This window comes from Homo sapiens, chromosome 12 (assembly GCF_000001405.40).
Source record: "Homo sapiens chromosome 12, GRCh38.p14 Primary Assembly".
Lineage (NCBI taxonomy): Eukaryota > Metazoa > Chordata > Mammalia > Primates > Hominidae > Homo > Homo sapiens.
This window is the reverse complement of record NC_000012.12, coordinates 7,899,846-7,919,016: the sequence shown is the minus strand read 5'-3', so window position 1 is coordinate 7,919,016 and position 19,171 is coordinate 7,899,846. Positions and strand designations below refer to the sequence as shown.

The 19,171-nt window shown below is 46.2% G+C and overlaps 4 annotated features.

Annotated features, from left to right (window-relative positions):
- Window positions 5,136-6,125: an enhancer, noted in NCBI's record as "H3K27ac-H3K4me1 hESC enhancer chr12:8065488-8066477 (GRCh37/hg19 assembly coordinates)". NCBI's record gives its function as "activates a minimal SCP1, AML or CMV promoter by ChIP-STARR-seq in primed H9 embryonic stem cells {active_cell/tissue: H9 hESC(primed)}" and the evidence as "EXISTENCE:reporter gene assay evidence [ECO:0000049][PMID:30033119]".
- Window positions 8,907-9,436: an enhancer, noted in NCBI's record as "H3K27ac-H3K4me1 hESC enhancer chr12:8062177-8062706 (GRCh37/hg19 assembly coordinates)". NCBI's record gives its function as "activates a minimal SCP1, AML or CMV promoter by ChIP-STARR-seq in primed H9 embryonic stem cells {active_cell/tissue: H9 hESC(primed)}" and the evidence as "EXISTENCE:reporter gene assay evidence [ECO:0000049][PMID:30033119]".
- Window positions 10,499-11,030: an enhancer, noted in NCBI's record as "NANOG-H3K27ac-H3K4me1 hESC enhancer chr12:8060583-8061114 (GRCh37/hg19 assembly coordinates)". NCBI's record gives its function as "activates a minimal SCP1, AML or CMV promoter by ChIP-STARR-seq in primed H9 embryonic stem cells {active_cell/tissue: H9 hESC(primed)}" and the evidence as "EXISTENCE:reporter gene assay evidence [ECO:0000049][PMID:30033119]".
- Window positions 13,155-13,684: an enhancer, noted in NCBI's record as "OCT4-NANOG-H3K27ac hESC enhancer chr12:8057929-8058458 (GRCh37/hg19 assembly coordinates)". NCBI's record gives its function as "activates a minimal SCP1, AML or CMV promoter by ChIP-STARR-seq in naive H9 embryonic stem cells {active_cell/tissue: H9 hESC(naive)}" and the evidence as "EXISTENCE:reporter gene assay evidence [ECO:0000049][PMID:30033119]".

Sequence of the window (19,171 nt, the reverse complement as noted above, 5' to 3'; positions counted from 1 at the left end):
CACGCCTGTAATCCCAGCACTTTGGGAGGCCAAGGCGGGTGGATCCCCTGAGGTCGGAAGTTCAAGACCAGCGTGACCAACATGGAGAAACTCCGTCTCTACTAAAAATACAAAAATTAGCTGGGCATGATGGCGCATTCCTGTAATCCCAGCTACTTGGGAAGGCTGAGGCAGGCAAATCGCTTAAACCTGGGAGGCGGAGGTTGCGGTGAGCAGAGATCGCGCCATTGTACTCCACCCTGGGCAACAAGAGCGAAACTCCGTCTCAAAAGAAAACAGCTTTCATTTGTTGCTTTTCATACTTGATAAATTATTTTGCTTTCTTTCCCCACTGAGAACTAGCTATTTTGTTTGTTTGTTTTTCTCTTGTGTTCTTTTTACTTCCTCCTCCAGTCTTTTTTTTTTTTTTTTTTTGGAGACAGAGTTTTGCTCTTGTTGCTCAGGCTGGAGTGCAATGGTGTGATCTCAGCTCACTACAACCTCTGCCTCCTGGGTTCAAGCCATTCTCCCGACTCAGCCTCCCAAGTAGCTGGTATTATAGGCATGCGCCACCACACCCGGCTAATTTTTATATTTTTAGTAGAGATGGGGTTCCACCACGTTGGCCAGGCTGGTTTTGAACTCCTGACCTCAAGTGATCCGCCCACCTCCGCCTTCCCAAAGTGTTGGGATTACAGGTGTGAGCCACCGCACCTGGCCCAGAGTGATCTTTTAAAATTGAATGTTACTCTGCTGCTTAAAGCCTTCCAGTTACATCTTACCACTTAAAATAATATCCAAACTCCTTCACCATGACTGACAAATCTAGTGACCTTAGGTCCCAGTTTAAATTGCCTTGATTCATTTTCACAACTGCCCTATCTGCCTAAAAGCCTTGCCTCTCCAATTTCACATCTTGTTATATGCATTTTTTTTTTTTTTGAGACAGAGCTTCATTCTTGTTATCCAGGATGGAGTGCAATGGTGTGGTCTCGGCTCACTGCATCCTCAGCCTCCCGGGTTCAAGCGATTTTCTTGACTTAGTCTCCCAAGTAGCTGAGACTACAGGCATAGGCCACCACACCCAGCTAATTTTTGTGTAGAGATCGGGTTTGGCCATGTTGACTAGGCTGGTCTTGAACTGGACTCACGTGATCTGCCAGCCTCAGCCTCCCAACGTTCTGGGATTACAGGCGTGAGCCACCACACCCGGCCCTAAGTGATGTTTATTTAAAGTGTCAGTCTGGGTCCTATCAGAAGACAAAAATGACACTTTTTTTTTTTTGGAAATAATATAAAGAATATCAAGCTATAGGCCGTGCGCGGTGGCTCACACGTGTAATCCCAGCACTTTGGGAGGCTGAGGTGGGTGGATCACCTGAGGTCAGGAGTTCGAGACCAGTCTGGCCATCATGCTGAAACCCCGTCTCTCCTAAAAATACAAAGAAAAATTAGCCGGGCTTGGTGGCAGGCGCCTGTAATCCCAGCTGAGGCAGGAGAATCGCTTGACCCAGGGAGGCAGAGGTTGCCGTGAGCCAAGATCGTACCATTGCACTCCAGCCTGGGCAATAAGAACAAAACTCCTTTAAAAAAAAAAAGGTATAAGACAAAATGCAGTTTCCTAGAGCTGAGGGAGATTATCCAAGAAATGACAAACTTGGAAGGAAGGCCACTGCCATCTCCTCAAAACTGACGTGCACACCTTATTGGAGAATGTAGAGTTTCAGTCTACTGGAGAGCAGAGAAGTCTGGTAGTTTGCCTGGGTCAGTGCTGGTGTGCAGTCCCTGGGCAAGCAGGGAACACACAGCTGGTGACCAGACATGCAGATGTGCAGATGGAGTCGAGGCACCAGAGGGGTGGGAGGCTTAGAGTGTGGCATCCCTGTGGAAAGTGACCACCAGGCCAGGGTGTGGCTGGGGCAGGTCACCATCAAATTTTCTCTCATCTATACTGCTAACCTATGGTGCAGGCACTGGAACCAGCAAGAGAATCCCCCTTCATCCTGCAGTATCCTTCCAGCACCATCTACTAAGAAAGCATTGTTCTTAGTACTCTAAAAAGGAAATGCTTAAAGGAATTCCAACCTTTTAAAAGCAGGTATTGGCCAGGCGCAGTGGCTCAAGCCTGTAATCTCAGCACTTTGGGAGGCCAAGGCGGGCGGATCACAAGGTCAGGAGATCGAGACCATCCTGGCTAACATGGTGAAACCCCGTCTCTACTAAAAATACAAGAAATTAGCAGGGCGTGGTGGCGGGCGCCTGTAGTCCCAGCTGGTCTGGAGGCTGAAGCAGGAGAATGGCGTGAACCCGGGAGGCGGAGCTTGCAGTGAGCCGAGATCGAGATCGTGCCACTGCACTCCAGCCTGGGCGACAGAGCGAGACTCCGTCTCAAAAAAAAAAAAAAAAAAAAAAGCAGGTATTGAGGGATGAATTCGGAGCTGACAGACAATAAATTTATAACTAGCACAATAAGTGTTAGATGGCTGGGTAGATAATAGTGGGTATTGGTTGAGGGGATTTCCCCCTTCCACACCTCCCAAAGCCACCTGGGCTTTTAGAGAAATTTCAAGTCCCCCACCCCGCCACCCTCCTTTTTTTTGGAATCAAGTGTTTGTTGCAGAAACTTGGCCAAGGTTCCAAGTGGCCCCAGATGGTTGAGGTTGGGCTAGGGGTCGCCTGCTCAGGGCTGGGCAAGTGAGACAAGGAAAAGGTGGAGGGAGCGCCTCTGGGCCTGGAGCTTCAGAGCTGCGAGGTTATGTTTCAGCCAAACTGCAGGTGAGGCTTATGAGGCCCGCTTGGGCTCCGCGCTGTGGGCCTTCATCACGCCGTCCTCTCTCATCATGAGCTGTAGATACCCAAAGAATGGCACCGATGAATCATCTAGTAACAAATCTGTCTTTTTGATCGGGGGCCTTCGCTGCACTGGCGTGGCTGAAACTGCGGTTCTCACCAACGTCCACCCTCTTCCTCCAGTTCGCCGCCCTGCCCCCAGCGAGCACTGAGCCCGCCAGCCCGACTTGGCGCTGCGGCCGCGACCACCCACCTCCCAATAGCCCGGCGGCCGCATGAGGCTGGGACTGGCGCACGGAGGCGGTGGGGCGGCGGGGGGGGGGAAGGGGGAGGGGAAGGGGGGTGCTGAAGCGGGGGGGGCGAGAAACTGGAGACCCTGCAAAAAGGCTGGGCCTGGGCTGCTCTGGTTACCCCGCGAGTCCTCTTCACTGCGCAGGCGTGGGCAGCTGCAGAACCCTGTCATTCTATCTTAGTTTGCTCATCATCACTAATATTCTTTGCTATGACCCAGGATATACCTGGAACCCAGCGACCTTGACCTGCCTTCCAATGCAGGTAAGTGAATTTAACTGCCCTTTCTGTATTGCTCTAGGCTGTGTTACTTGATAGGGTTGACGCCTGAGTTGGGATACATTTCAGGGATTACATTAATTTTTTTTTTTTTTTTTGAGACGGAGTTTCGCTCTTGTCGCCCAGGCTGGAGTGCAATGGCACGATCTCAGGTCACCGCAATCTCCGCCACCCGGGTTCAAGCGATTCTCCTGCCTCAGCCTCCCGAGTAGCTGGGATGAGAGGCGCGCGACACCACGCCCAGCTACACGCCCGGCTAATTTTTTGTATTTTTAGTAGAAACAGGATTTCACCATGTTAGCCAGGCTGGTCTCGAACTCCCGACTTCAGGTGATCCGCCCGCCTAGGCCTCCCAAACTGTTGGGATGACAGGCGTGAGCCACCGCGCCCGGCTAAGTTTCATTTTTTTAAATGAGAAAATTGGCCAGGTGCTGCGGCTCGAGCCTGTCATCCCAGCACTTTGGGAGCTGAGGCGGGAGAATCGCTTGAACCCGGGAGGCAGAGGTTGCAGTGAGCCGAGATCGTGCCATTGCACTCCAGCCTGGACGACAGACTGAGACTCCGTCTCAAAAAAATAAACAAAAGAAAAAAAGTGAAAGAAGCCAATCATAAAAGACCACATACTATATTACTCAATTGAGACGAAATTTCCAGAATAGGCCATTCTACAGAGAGAAAGAAGATAGATTTACTGGTGGCCTTGGAAGGGAAGAGGAAGTGGTGAAGAACACAGGGAGGGCAGAGTGCAGTGGCTCACGCCTGTAACCCCAGCACTTTAGGAGGCCGAGGCAGAAGGATCACTTGAGCCAGGAGTTCAAGACCAGCCTAGGCAATATAGAGAGACCCCCGTCTCTACAAAAAATTTAAAATTTAGTCAGGTGTGGTGGCACGTGCCTGTGATCCCAGCTACTCGGGAGGCTGAGGCAGGAGGATCGCTTGAGCCAGGAGGTCGAGGTTGCAGTGAACCGAGGTCATACCACTGCACTCTAGCTTGGGCGACAGAGGGAGACCCTATCTCGAAAAGAAAAGATATGAAACTGAAATATCCTGGCCAGGCGCGGTAGCTCACGCGTGTAATCCCAGCACTTTGGGAGGCTGAGGCGGGCGGATCATGAGGTCAGGAGATCGAGACCATCCTGGCTAACACGGTAAAACCCTGTTTCTACTAAAAATACAAAAAATTAGCCGGGCATGGTGGCTGGCGGGCGCCTGTAGTCCCAGCTACTCAGGAGGCTGAGGCAGGAGAATGGCGTGAACCCGGGAGGTGGAGCTTGCAGTGAGCCGATATCCCGCCACTGCGCTCCAGCCTGGGCGACAGAGCAAGACTCTGTCTCAAAAACATAAATAAAATAAATAAAAAATAAAACCTAAATATCCCAATAAGAAACTGGTAAACATAAATTTTGAAACATCCGTGGAATATAGTACTATGCAGATACTCTACATAATTAGGTAGATATTTGGTGCTGCTATGTTACAACATCCATGATGTATCACTGAGTAAAGAAAAGAAATTAGAGAATAACATATTCAGTATGACCCCATTTGTTTAAAAAAAAAAAAGAAGGAAGATAAGAAAAGGAATCTTACTTATGTAGGCTTAGATAAGCATAGTTTCCGGAGTGATATTGAATAAATTGTTAATAATGGTTACCTCTGAATAATGGGAAGAGATCTTATTGAGAAGACATTTACTTTTAAATTTTTTCCATCTTGTGCTTTTTAAATATTTTGCTGGGCTGGCACGGTGGCTCACCCCTGGAATCCCAGCACTTTGGGAGACCAAGGTTGGCGGATCACCTGAGGTTGGGAGTCGAGACCAGCCTGACCAACATGGAGCAACCCTGTCTCTACTAAAAATACAAAATTAGCCGGGCGTGCTGGCTCATGCCTGTAATCCCAGCTACTCGGGAGGCTGAGGCAGGAGAATCGCTTGAACCCAGGAGGCAGAGGTTACGGTGAGCCAAGATAGTGCCATTACACTCCAGCCTGGGCAACAAGAGCGAAACTCTGTATCAAAAATAAAATAAACATTTTGCCGTGATTATATTCTACTTTTAAAAGCGTAAGTACACACAACAAATATTTAGAAAATTCTCAATCATCTCTCTTTTTAAAACATTGTAGCTTTTGGCCAGGCGCAGTGGCTCATGCCTGTAATCCCAGCACTTTGGGAGGCCGAGGCGGGCGGATCACGAGGTCAGGAGATCGAGACCATCCTGGCTAACATGGTGAAACCCCGTCTCTACTAAAAATACAAAAAATTAGCGGGGCATGGTGGCAGGCGCCTGTAGTCCCAGCTACTCGGGAGGCTGAGGCAGGAGAATGGTGTGAACCTGGGAGGAGGAGCTTGCAGCGAGCCGAGATTGTGCCACTGCACTCCAGCCTGGGCGACAAAGCGAGACTCCGTCTCAAAAAACAACAACAACAACAACAACAAAATTGTAGCTTTTTCCTTCTTCATAGATTTGGGAAGCTTCATTGATATTGGACTTTTCCCAGGAAGGCTTCATGGAGTGTGGAGGCCCAAGATAAAGTCTAGGTAGTCTAAAAGGAGATCTCTGCATAAAGGATGAACAAGAGATCAAACCATGGTTCAGAAGAAGACAGCAGTCCTCTTTTGCTTTTTCACCTTGGTGCTGGACAGAGGAGGAAAAAAAAATCTCGCCAAGAATTCTTAACTACACATTGGTCCCCATGCAGTGTCGTTGTCTGATTTTATGCTAACTGTGTGGCTAAAAATCTACAAATAGAAAATATAACTTAAAGCGGTTCTAGATTAGTACAGGTCCTAAACAACTGAGAGAAGCAAATGTAAATCTTTTCTGGAGGAATGCCAGTTCAACTCAGAGTTCAAAGTAGTCAATTATAAAATAAGAGGCCAGGCGCAGTGGCTCACGTCTGTAATCCAAGCACTTTGGGAGGCTGAGGCGGGTGGATCACCTGATGTCAGGAGTTCGAGACCATCCTGGACAACATGGCAAAACCTTGTCTCTACTAAAAATACAAAAGGCTGGGCACAGTGACTCACACCTGTAATACCAGCACTTTGGGAGGCCAAGGTGGGTGGATCACTTGAGGTCAGGAGTTTGAGACCAGCCTGACCGACATGGTGAAACCCTGTCTCTACTAAAAATACAAAATTAGCCGAGCATGGTGGCATATACCTGTAATCCCAGCTACTCGGGAGGCTGAGGCAGGAGAATCACTTGTACCCGGGAGGCAGAGGTTGCAGTGAGCTGAGATCAGGCCATTGCACTCCAGCATGGGCAACAAGAGCAAAACTCCATTTCCAAAAACAAAACAAAACAAAACAAAATCCAAAAATTTGGATGGGCATGGTGTCTCACGTCTGTAATCCCAGCACTTTGGGAAGCTGAGGCGAGTGGATCACTAGAGGTCAGGAGGTCGAGATCAGCCTGGCCAAGACAGTGAAACCCCGTTTCTACTAAAAATACAAAAATTAGCCTAGCATGGTGGTGCACGCCTGTAATCCCAGCAACTCAGGAGGCTGAGGCAGTAGAATCGCTTGAACCCAGTCACTATTAAATGAATAAGCCTTATAGATGATAAATTCCAAATATTTTACATGGGGGAAAAAAACAGACTACGTAAAGAAAAACAAACCAACCAATTTTTTTTTTTTTTTTTAAAAGATGGAATCTTGCTATGTTGCCAAAGCTGGACGTGAATTCCTGGGCTCAAGCAATCCTCCCGCCTCAGCCTCTCGAGTAGCTAGAATTACACACACACACCACACAAACCAACTACCTTTTTTTTTTTTGAGACGGAATCTCCCTCTTGTTGCCCAGGCTGGAGTGCAATGGCACGATCTCGGCTCACCACAACCTCTGCCTGCCGGGTTCAAGTGATTCTCCTGCCTCATCCTCCCAAGTAGCTAGGATTACAGGCATGCACCACCACGCCTGGTTAATTTTTTGTATTTTTAGTAGAGACGGGGTTTCTCCATGTTGGTTAGGCTGGTCTCGAACTCCCGACCTCAGGTGATCCACCCGTCTCGGCCTCCCAAAGTGCTGGGATTATAGGGGTGAGCCACCACGCCCGGCCAGACAACCAACTACCTTTAAAAGAACAGAAAAGGGTTTGGGAAGAGAAAACAGAAAAAGCATTACAAAGTAGAAAGCAGATAATAGAATGATAGGAAAAAATCTAATTATATAAGCAATAACAAATATAATGGGATAAGCTTTTCAAATAATAGTAGATTATCACATTAGATTTTTATTTATTTATTAAAAATTTTTTTTTGAGACAGGGTCTCAGGCAGACCAATTTTATTGATTCATATAGAGGCAAACAAATTATTAGAATATCATATCTAGCAATGTATTAAAAAATATAATACATCTTGGCCAGGCTCGTCGGCTCATGCCTATAATCCCTGCATTTTGGGAGGCTGAGGCAGGTGGATCACTTGAGGTCAGGATTTCGAGACCAGCCTGGCAAACATGGTGAAACCTTGTCTCTACCACAAATACAAAAATTAGCCAGGTGTGGTGGCACGTGCCTGTAGTCCCAGCTGCTACAGAGGCTGAGGCAGGAGAATCGCTTGAACCTGGGAGACGGAGGTTGGAGGTTGCAGTGAGCTAAGATCATGCCACTATACTCCAGTCTGGCTGACAGAGCAAGACTCTGTCTCAAACAAAAACAAAAACAAAAAAAAAAAAACGGAAAAGAAACTCTGGACCCTTTAACTATTGTGCCTCTCTCTCCATTACCCCAGCCCTAAACAACCACTAATGTACCTTCTACCTCTATAGGTTTACCTATTCTGGACATTTTATGTAAAAGGAATTACACAATATGTGATCTTTTGTGACTAGCTTTATACATTTAGCATAACATTTTCAAGATTCATCTATGTTACAGCATGGGTCAGTACCTCATTCCTATTAATGGCTGAATAATATTACATTGCACGGACATACTACATTTAATTTATCTTTTTTTTTGAGACAGAATCTCACTCTGTTGCCCAGGCTGGAGTACAGTGGTACAGTCTTGGTTCACTGCAGCCTCTGCCTCCTGGGTTCAAGCAATTCTGCCACCTCAGCCTCCCAAGTAGCTAGTACTACATGTGCACACCACCACACCCGGTTAATTTTTGTATTTTTAGTAGAGACAGGGTTTCACCATGTTTGCCCAGCTGTCTGGAACTCCTGACCTCCAGTGATCTGCCCACCTCAGCCTCCCAAAGTGTTGGGATTATAGGCGTGAGCCACCGCGCCCAGCCTGTTTATCCATTTATTGGTGAATGGATGGGGTTGTTTCCAATTTGGTGTTATTGTCAAGAATTCTGCAGTGAACACCTATGAACAACTTTTTTATGTGGTCATATGTGTATTAGTCAGGCTTCTCTAGAGGGACAGAACTAATAGGATAGATGTATATATAAAAGGGAGTTTATTAAGGAGTATGACTCACACGATCACAAGGTAAGGTCCCACAATAGGCCGTCTGCAAGCTGAGGAGCAAAGAAGCCAGTCCAAGTCCCAAAGCTAAAGAACTTAGATTCCGATGTTCAAGGGCGGGAAGCATCTGGCACAGGAGAAAGATGTAGGCCAGGAGGCTAAGCCAGTCTGGTCTTTTCATGTTCTTCTGCCTGCTTTTATTCTGGCCTCACTGGTAGCTGATTAGCTTGTGCCCACACAGATTGAGGGTGGGTCTGCCTTTCCCAGTCCACTGACTCAAATGTAAATTTCCTTTGGCAACACCTGACAGACAAGACACACCCAGGAACAATACTTTGCATACTTCAATCCAATTAAATTGACACTCAATATTAACCATCACAATACATTTTCATTTTCTTCGGATAATATACCTAGGAGTAGAATTTCTGGGTTATATAGTAACTCTATCTTTAACCATTTGAGAAACTATCAAACTGTTTTCCAAAGTGGCTGCACCAGGCTAGGCTACTCTGCCTCTGGAGTAGCCATTCTTTTGTTCCTTTACTTTCCTAATAAGCTTGCTTTCCTTCTTTTTTTTCTTTTTTCTTTTTTTTTGTTTTTTTGTTTTTTTGAGGCGGAGTTTCGCTCTTGATCCCCAGGCTGGTGTGCCATGGTGCGATCTCAGCCCACCGAAACCTTGGCCTCCTGGGTTCAAGCGATTCTTCTGCCTCAGTCTCCCGAGTAGCTGGGATTACAGGCATGCAACACTATGCCCGGCTAATTTTTGTATTATTAGTAGAGATGGGGTTTCTCCATTCTCTGTGTTGGTCAGGCTGGTCTCAAATTCCCTTTTTTTTTTTTTTTGAGACAGACTCTCACTCTGTCGCCCAGGCAGGAGTGCACTGGGCTCACTGCAACTTCCACCTCGGGGATTCAAGTGATTCTTCTGCCTCAGCCTCCCAAGTAGCTGGGACTACAGGCACATGCCACCACACCAGGCTAATCTTTGTATTTGTAGTAGAGACAGGGTTTCACCATGTTGGCCAGGCTGGTCTCAAACTCCTGACATCAAGTGATCTGCCCGCCTTGGCCTCCTAAGGTGCTGGTATTACAGATGTGGGTGTGAGCCACCTCGCCCAGCAATTTTTATTTTTATTTTTTTCCGAGACCACCCAGGCTAGGGTGCAGTGTCATGATCTCGGCTCACAGCAACCTCCGCCTCCAGATTCAAGCGATTCTCCTGCCTCAGCCTCCCAGGTAGCTGGGGTTACAAGCGTGCACCACCATGCTGGGCTAATTTTTGTATTTTCAGTAGAGACGAGGTTTCACCGTATTGGTGAGGCTAGTCTTGAACTCCTGACCTCAGGTGATCCACCCAGCTCAGCCTCCCAAAGTGCTGGGATTACAGGTGTGAGCCATCGTACCCGGCCTGACTAGTCTTAAAAAAAAAAAAAAAACTTACAGAGCTTTAGAGTGTCAACACACAAATGGCAGTTAACCTCAGAGTATAGCTTACAGTTCAAGTGAAGCACAGTTTATAAATATTTTCTCATGTAATTGAGTGCTGTGTAAATCTAAAGTACTCTGAAAGGTATTTACCTCCAAATTGGAACTCACTTTATTTTTCACTATTCTTTTTTTCAGAGACAGGGTCTTGCTCTTGTTGCCCAGGCTGGAGTGCAGTGGCAGGATCTTGGCTCACTGCAACCTCTGCCTCCCAGGTTCAAATGATTCTCCTGCCTCAGCCCCCAGAGTAGTTGGGATTACAGGCGCGTGCCACCACGCCCAGCTAATGTTTGTATTTATTTATGTATTATTATTATTTTTTTGAAAAAGAGTCTCACTCTATTACAGATTGGAGTACAGTGGCGCCATCTTGGCTCACCGCAACCTCTGCTTCCCAGGTTCAAGCGATTCTTCTCCTGCCTCAGCCTCCCAAAAAGCTGGGATTACAGTCACATGCCACCAGGCCCAGGTAATGTTTGTATTTTTAGTAGAGTTGGGGTTTCTCCATGTTGGCCAGGCCGGTCTCAAACACTTGACCTCAGGTGATCCGCCTGCCTTGGCCTCCCAAAGAGCTGGGATTACAGGTGTAAGCCATTGCGCCCGGCCTGTTTTTCACTCTTCTTTTGGAAGATGTAAGTGACGTAAGAGGCAGAGTAGGACTGCTGAGGTGGCTCACGCCTGTAATCCCAGCACTTTGGGACGCCGAGGCAGGCGGATCACCTGAGGTCAGGAGTTGGAGAGCAGCCTGGCCAACATGGCGAAACCCCGTCTCTACTAAAGATACAACAATTAGCTGGGCGTGGTGGCAGGCACATGTAATTCCAGCTACTCGGAAAGCTGAGGAAGAAGAATCGCTTGAATCCGGGAGGCAAAGGTTGCAGTGAGCCAAGATCATGCCACTGCACTCCAGCCTGGGAGACAGAGCAAGACTCCATCTCAAAAAAAAATAAAAAGAGGCAGAGTATTCTGACCTATAGAACTGTAAGGAAAAAAAAGGAAAAAACATGTTTTTTAAAAAAGGCATAATAAAAATACATCGCTAAGAGTTAAGAATAATGATCATCTCTCTTATCCTGACAAAGACTGATGTGGCCAGGAGTGGTGGCTCACGCCTGTAATCCCAGCACTTGGGGAGGCCGAGGCAGGCGGATCACAAGGTCAGGAGTCTGAGACCAGCCTGACCAACATAGTGAAACCCCACTTCAACTAAAAATACAAAAATTAGCTGGGCATGGTGGGTGTGCACCTGTAATCCCAGCTACTCAGGAGACTGATGCAAGACAACTGCTTGAACCCGGGAGGTGGAGGTTGCAGTGAGCTGAGATCCTGCCACTGCACTCTAGATTGGGAGACAGAGGGAGACTCCAACTCAAAAAAAAAAAAAAAAAAAGAAAAGACTGATGTGGCAGATACTTAAAACATGGTCTTTCCCGCCCCCCGCACCGATAGAGGGCAGCAACTCTGAGTAAATAAAAGGAGTCACTTTTATTGACATAATGAGATAAGAATTGACCAGGAACTGTGTGTGATAGTTGTGTGGACTGCACTGAAAGAACCTACAGAGCCTTACACAGCTTGAGGGCTAAGTATGATTGCAGGCCTGGTGGGGCTCACACCTGCAATTCCAGCACTTTTGCAGGCCAAGATGGGAGGATCCCTTGAGTCCAGGAGTTGGAGACCAACCTAGGCAACATAGTGAGAGCCTGTCTCTACAAAAAATAGAAAAAAAAAAAAAAATTAGCCTGTGATCCCAGCTACTAGGGAGGCTGATGTGGGAGGATCTGTTAGACCCAAAAGGTTGAGGTAGCAGTGAGCCATGATCGTGCCACTACACTCCAGCCTAAACAACATAGCAAAATGTTGTCTCAAAACAAAAGTATGACTGTAGGATTACTGAAAGGCTGAGGAAGGACGAGACTTAAGAAATGAGATTTGGGGCCGGGCGTGGTGGCTCACACCTATAAACGCAGCACTTTGGGAAGTTGAGGCAGGCAGATCATGAGGTCAGGAGTTCGAGACCAGCATGGCCAATATGGTGAAACCCTGTCCCTACTAAAAATAGAAAAATTAGCCAGGTGTGGTGGTATGCACCTGTAGTCCCAGCTACTCAGCAGGCTGAGGGAGAATGACGACTTGAACCCAGAAGGCGGAGGTTGCAGTGGACCGAGATCACACCACTGCATTCCAGCCTGGGTGACAGAGCAAGATTCCATCTCAAAAAAAAAAAAAAAGTGCTGCTCAATGAGCCAAGGAGAACTACTTTTGTGGCCAGGAATACCTACCCCTTTGTCTCTCTGATAAGAGCACATTGACACCCATGTTCCAGGTACATCTGTTCTGCAGATCCCTGGCCCTAATTGAATCTCAAATTCTCACCCTTGGTTCTTGTCCTTAGCTCTTGTGACTACGCCAGTGTATCAGAGGACATGTAAACACTGCTACCCTTTCTACTCCACATGCACCTTATCCTAAATGGATTAATGTATCCCATCTTTTTTTACTGTGCTTTGTGCCATGTATTTAAGTGATTTAATATGATTCTAGTATCTTAATTTGATCTGTGAGCTTTTCTGTTTCTTAATAGTTTGCTTGGTAGTGTCATTGGAGGTAGTGCTACCATTGCATTGAAGTAATTTCCCAGGTGCTTAACCCTTTAAAATTCTCAAGAACATTTTATTCGAGGACCACAAAGTTTATACCAACTACCCAGAAGCCAGGAATAGCTTAAGGAGAGACTCACCACCAGCAGCTTCTTTTCAATCAAGTTTCACTTCAACCTCACACCCAGGAACCCATTCAAATTCCTACATTTCGGTATCCTTAGTCGAACTAACTTCCTGTGCCGGAAGCTTTTGTCTGTCCCAGTGACTTCTTTCTTTAACAAATTCCCTTCATCTCCCCCTTGAGTCAAAGCCCATGGGGGCCCCAGGAGGCATGCAATATTTACCAAGGGCTCTCCCCCACTTTCCTGCCTCTGTCTGGCAGCTGTTTGCCTTTACTTTTAGGTTTGTAGTCACAGCCTGTTTTTTCTTCCTTGGACACACCAGCTTTTCTGAATGGTAGGATTATTTACAGTAGAATTAACCTTGTCCTTCACCCCGAGAACTGAGCTTGAAATTCACTAATCAAGGCCTGTATTCCTCCCACTTCTGAGCTTTGAATTTATATTATGAAATTCGGAAAACCCAGGCAAATTCAATCCATGCTTCTCTCCTTCAGGTACAAACTGAAATGGAAATGGAAGCTGAAAAATCAAGAAAATGAATTTTAAAAACTAAAATATGGTAAAGTTACTAAAATATAATGTTGGAAGTAACACACACCTCCTTTTGGGAAAAGAACAAAGAAAGCAAAATTTTCTAGGGGAAAGGAAGAGATGTAAAAAGGAGAGCCTGACTTGTGAATTTATAATTTCCTTTTTGCTTAATCTCCTATTATTATATTTGTTTATATTGTTGGTGATCCGGTGACCTAGAAAGGATAAGCTGAAAAGCCTTAAATTAGGTTGGCACATCTCCAAGTTCTTATTGGCAACTTTTCAAGCCTCTTCTTAAGGTGGCTTATGTATAGTGAATTTTGCTTTAATGTTTATTTGCTGATCTTTCACCTTCTTAGGCATTAAGTTTTTGGACCATAAAGACAACATAGAGCTTACATTTTTTAACTTTTAATCACTTGGCTAATAGTAGTCAGTGATTAGTTCTCATTTAGCCATGAAGTGAGCAGGAACATAAAGAATGGCATTTTTTAATTTTTAAAAACATATCGGCCGGGCGCGGTGGCTCACTTCTATAATCCCAGCACTTTGGGAGGCCAAGGCGGGTGGATCATGAGGTCAGGAGTTCAAGACCAGCCTGGCCAAGATGGCGAAACCCCATCTCTACTAAAAAATACAAAAAATTAGCCGGACATGGTGGCAGGTGCCTGTAATCCCAGCTACTTGGGAGTCTGAGGCAGGAGAACTGCTTGAACCCAGGAGGCGCAGGTTGCAGTGAGCCCAGATGGCACTACTGCACTCCAGCCTGGGCGACAGAGCGAGACTCTGTCTAAAAAAAAAAAAGCTATCGGCCGGGCGTGGTGGCTCATGCCAGTAATCCCAGCACTTTGGCAGGCCAACACGGGCAGATCACCTGACGTCAGGAGTTCACGACCAGCCTGACCAACATGGAGAAACCCCATCTCTACTAAAAATACAAAATTAGCCAGTCATGATGGTGCATGCCTGTAATCCCAGCTACTTGGGAGGCTGAGGCAGGAGAATCACTTGAAACCGGGAGGCAGAGGTTGCAGTGAGCTGAGATCGTGCCATTACACTCCAGCCTGGGCAACAACAGCAAAATTCTGTTTCAAAAAAAAAAAAAATCTACACCTTAACATTTATTTAAATTAATGTCAAGATGTTAATAGCAGGCCGGGTGCGGTGGCTCATGCCTGTAATCTGAGCACTTTGAGAGGCCGAGGCAGGTGGATCACCTGAGGTCAGGAGTTCGAGACCAGCCTGGTCAACGTGGTGCAACCCCATCTCTACTAAAAAATACAAAAATAAGCCGGGCGTGGTGGCCGGCGCCTGTAATCCCAGCTACTTGGGAGGCCGAGCCAGGAGAATCACTTGAACCTGGGAGGCGGAGGTTGCAGTGAGCCAAGATCGTGCCACTGCACTCCAGCCTGGGTGACAGAGCAAGACTCCGTCTCAAAAAAATTTTTAAAAAAATTTTTTAAAAATGTTAATAGTTATATATAGTGCTCAAAAGTCAAAACAAAAATAAAAACAACTTAAATCGTGATACATCTGTAATATTTATTATTACATAGTAATTAAAATGAATGAGCCAGATCCAATTTTAGTGTATAGAAAGTTATCTATGATAGGCCGAGCACGGTGGCTCACGCCTGTAATCTCAGCCCTTTGGAAGGCTGAGGCGGGCGGATCACTTGAGGTCAGGAGTTCAAGACCAGCCTGTCCAAAATGGTGAAACCCCAACTCTACTAAAAATACAAAAATTAGCCAGGTGTGGTACCTGTAATCCTAGCTACTTGGGAGGCTGAGGCAGGAGAATCGCTTGAACCCAAGAGGCAGAGGTTGCAGTGAGTGGAGATTGTGCCACTGCACTCCAGCCTGGGCAACATCTCAAAAAAAATAAATAAATAATACAAAAGTTTGTTGGGCATAGTGGTTCGTGCCTGTAGTCTGAGCTATTTGGGAGGCTGAGGCAGGAGAATTCCTTGAATCCAGGAAGTCGAGGCTGCAATGAGCTGAGATGGCACCACTGAACCCCAGTTTGGGCAGCAGAGCCAGACCTTGTCTTTTTTTTTTTTTTTTTTTGAGACAGAATTTGCTCTTGTTGCCCAAACTGGAGTGCAATGGTGCAATCTTGGCTCACTGCAACCTCCGCCTCCCAGGTTCAAGCAATTCTTCTGCCTCAGCCTCCCGAGTAGCTGGGATTACAGGCGCGTGCCACCACACCAGGCTAATTTCTTGTACTTTTAGTAGACACGGGGTTTCACCATGTTGGCCAGGTTGGTCTCAAACTCCTGACCTCAGGTGATCCACCAGCCTTGGCCTCCCAAAGTGCTGGGATTACAGGCATGAGCCACCCTGCCTGGCCAAGACTTTGTCTTTAAAAAAAAAAAAAAAAAAAAACTGGGGCACAATGGCTCATGCCTGTAATCCCAGCACTTTGGGAGACCGAGGGATCACCTGAGGTCAGAAGTTCAAGACCAGCCTGGCCAACATGGTGAAACCTTGTGTCTACTTAAAATACAAAAATTAGCCAGGCGTGGTGGCATGCACCTGTAATCCCAGCTACTCAGGAGGCTGAGGCAGGAGAATTGGCTTGAACTGGGGATGTGAAGGTTATGGTAAGATGAGATCGCATGCTGCACTCCAGCCGTCTGGGCGACAGGGGAAAACTTCGCCTCAAAAAAAAAAAAAAGACGGGCACGGTAGCTCACGCCTGTTAATCCCAGCACTTTGGGAGGCCAAGGCAGGCAGATCACCTGAGGTCGGGAGTTTGAGACCAGCCTGACCAACATGGAGAAACCCCGTGTCTACTAAAAATACAATATTATCCGGGTGTGGTGATGTATGCTTATAATCCCAGCTTTCCAGAGGCTGAGTCAGGAGAATCGCTTGAACGTGGGAGGCGGAGGTTGGAGTGAGCCAAGATTGTGACATTGCACTGGGCAACAGGAGTGAAACTCCGTCTCAGAAAAAAACCCAGAAAATATAATAGTGTTATAATTTACAAAACCACCCATTAACATCTACATTATATGTACTAAAATATCTTTGGCTGAAAATCTGTAAGAATATATGCTGAATTATTTAGTGTTTATATCTGAATAGGTGTAATTACTAGATCAACTTCATTATGTATTTTTCTATTGCTTAAATAATTTGCTTTTAAGAGCAAATTTATTTCAGACTTGCAACCAAAAGCCATGATTCTTTAAAAAAAAAGAAAATCGGGGCTGGGCGCAGTGGCTCACGCCTGTAATCCCAGCACTTTGGGAGGCCGAGGTGGGCAGATCACCAGGTCAAGAGATGGAGTCCATCCTGGCCAACATGGTGAAACCCTGCCTCTACTAAAAATACAAAAATTAGCTGGGCGTGGTGGCACGTACCTGTAGTCTCAGCTACTTGGGAGGCTGAGGCAGGAGAATTGCTGGAACCCGGGAGGCAGAGGTTGCAGTGAGCCAAGATTGTGCCACTGTACTCCAGCCCGGTGACAGAGCGAGAATCATCTCAAAAAAAAAAAAAAGAAAAGAAAAGAAATCAGGCCGGATGCAGTGGCTCACGCCTGTAATCCCAACACTTTGGGAGGCTGAGGCTGGAGGATCACGAGGTCAGGAGTTCAAGACCAGCCTAACCAACATGGTGAAACCCTGTCACTATTAAAAATACAAAAATTAGCCAGACATGGTGGCACACACCTGTAATCCCAGCTACTCCGAAGGCTGAAGCAGGAGAATCACTTGAACCTGGGAGGAAGAGGTTGCAGTGAGCCAAGATCACGCCACTGCACTCCAGCCTGGGTGACAGAGTGAGACTGTGTCTCAGGAAAAAAAAAAAAAAAAGAAAAGAAGAAAATTTTCTTTTTTCTTTTTTTTTCCTGAGCTGGAGTCTCACTCTCCACCAGGCTGGAGTGCAGTGGTGCAATTTCAGCTCACTGCCATTTCCACCTCCAGAATTTATGCGATTCTCCTGCCTTTGCCTCCTAAGTAGCTGAGATTACAGGTGTGAGCTACCATAACCGGCTAATTTTTGTATTTTTAGCAGAGATGGGGTTTCACCATATTTGGCCAGGATGGTCTTGAACTCCTGACCTCAAGTGATCCGCCTGCCTCAGTCTCCCAAAGTGCTGGGATTGCAGGTGTGAGCCACTGCGTACAGCCTTTCTTTGGTTTCTTGGTGACTGTGGGTTTTACTACCTTCTGCCCTAGGTCTTCACCTCAACTTGAATATTGACCTATTGGATGTAGGAAACAAGTCGTATTTCCATTAATGGTTAATTTCCAAAAGCAAATTAAACAGTGAAAACCAGACACCAATCTCCTTTTTTTCTCTCATCTCTTACTTCCTTTCTTCAGTCCCCAGCTTGATGCTTTCAACATGAGATGCTTCAAGCCTATGTGCAACTCAAAATCTTCCCTCTCGCAGATCCCAGACCTCAAGTCAGGCATCTTTCCTCAGCCTCTCAGTAACCCTGCAGTCATACTTAACATCTCCTAAACTGGGGAAGGCCCTGTAGATTCCATCAGTGCTGCCCACACAGCCATCACACACGTGTTAACTGCCACCAAGGCCCTGAACAATTCCTATGCTCATTAGATCAGTAAAACTGGTTCCATTATCTACTCAAGATTATCCTTTCGGCAGGTGGAGGGTGGTATCTACCACATCAGATTTCTCATCAGGATAACAGAAATATAAACTACCCCCATGCTTTGTAGCTGAACTTAATCCAAAGCAAAGAGAAGCCAGATATTTTTTCCAAAATTTCTAGGCTCTGAATTACTATTTAATATTTCCTCAAATTTATTGGAGCTTCATTATCTGCCCTTTGTAAGAACCAATAATTTTATTAAAATGTTAGTGACACACCATCTTAAAAAAAAAAAAAGGCCAAGCGCAGTGGCTCACACCTGTAATCCCAGCACTTTGAGAGGCAGAGGCAGGCAGATCACTTGAGGTCAGGAATCTCACTCTGTTGCCCAGGCTGGAGTGCAGTGGTGTGATCTTAGCTCACTGCAACCTCTTGCAACAAATTTTTGTATTTTTAGTAGAGATGGTGTTTCGCCATGTTGGCCACGCTGGTCTTGAACTCCTGACCTCACATGATCCACCCAGTTCAGCCTCCCAAAGTGCTGGGATTATAGGACTGAGCCACCTCGCCCAGCCACTTACTCAATTCTATCCATTTTTTGAGGCAGGGGACTCACTGTTGCCCAGGCTGGAGTGAGTCCTCCAGGGCTCAAGCGATCTTCCTTCCTCAGCCTCCCAAGTAGCTGGGACTACAGGCATGGGCCACCACATTCAGCTTTTTCTATCTATTTCTAAGATAGCAGTGTTCTCAGCTAATTTACTCCCCCGCCCCAACTAAAAACGTAACAAAGATTTATGTTTAAGCTGTATTTTTACTGATTGAAACACTAGGAGAAATCAGGCCAAAGTCAACTGAAGGAAAAATGGTTGTTTTATTCATTAGTACTTAAACCAGCCGAAGTAGTACTGATGCCATTATAATGCACTAAACACAAGACCTCTTTCCACAAATATTAGTCATAACCAACAAAATACGGGCTATAGTAAAACGGAGCCAAAAAGGGTTGAGGAAATCAGTGAAGTATGTAACAACTTAAAGCTTCACCCTTCACCTCAATAGAGTTTTTATTTTATTTTGACATGGAGT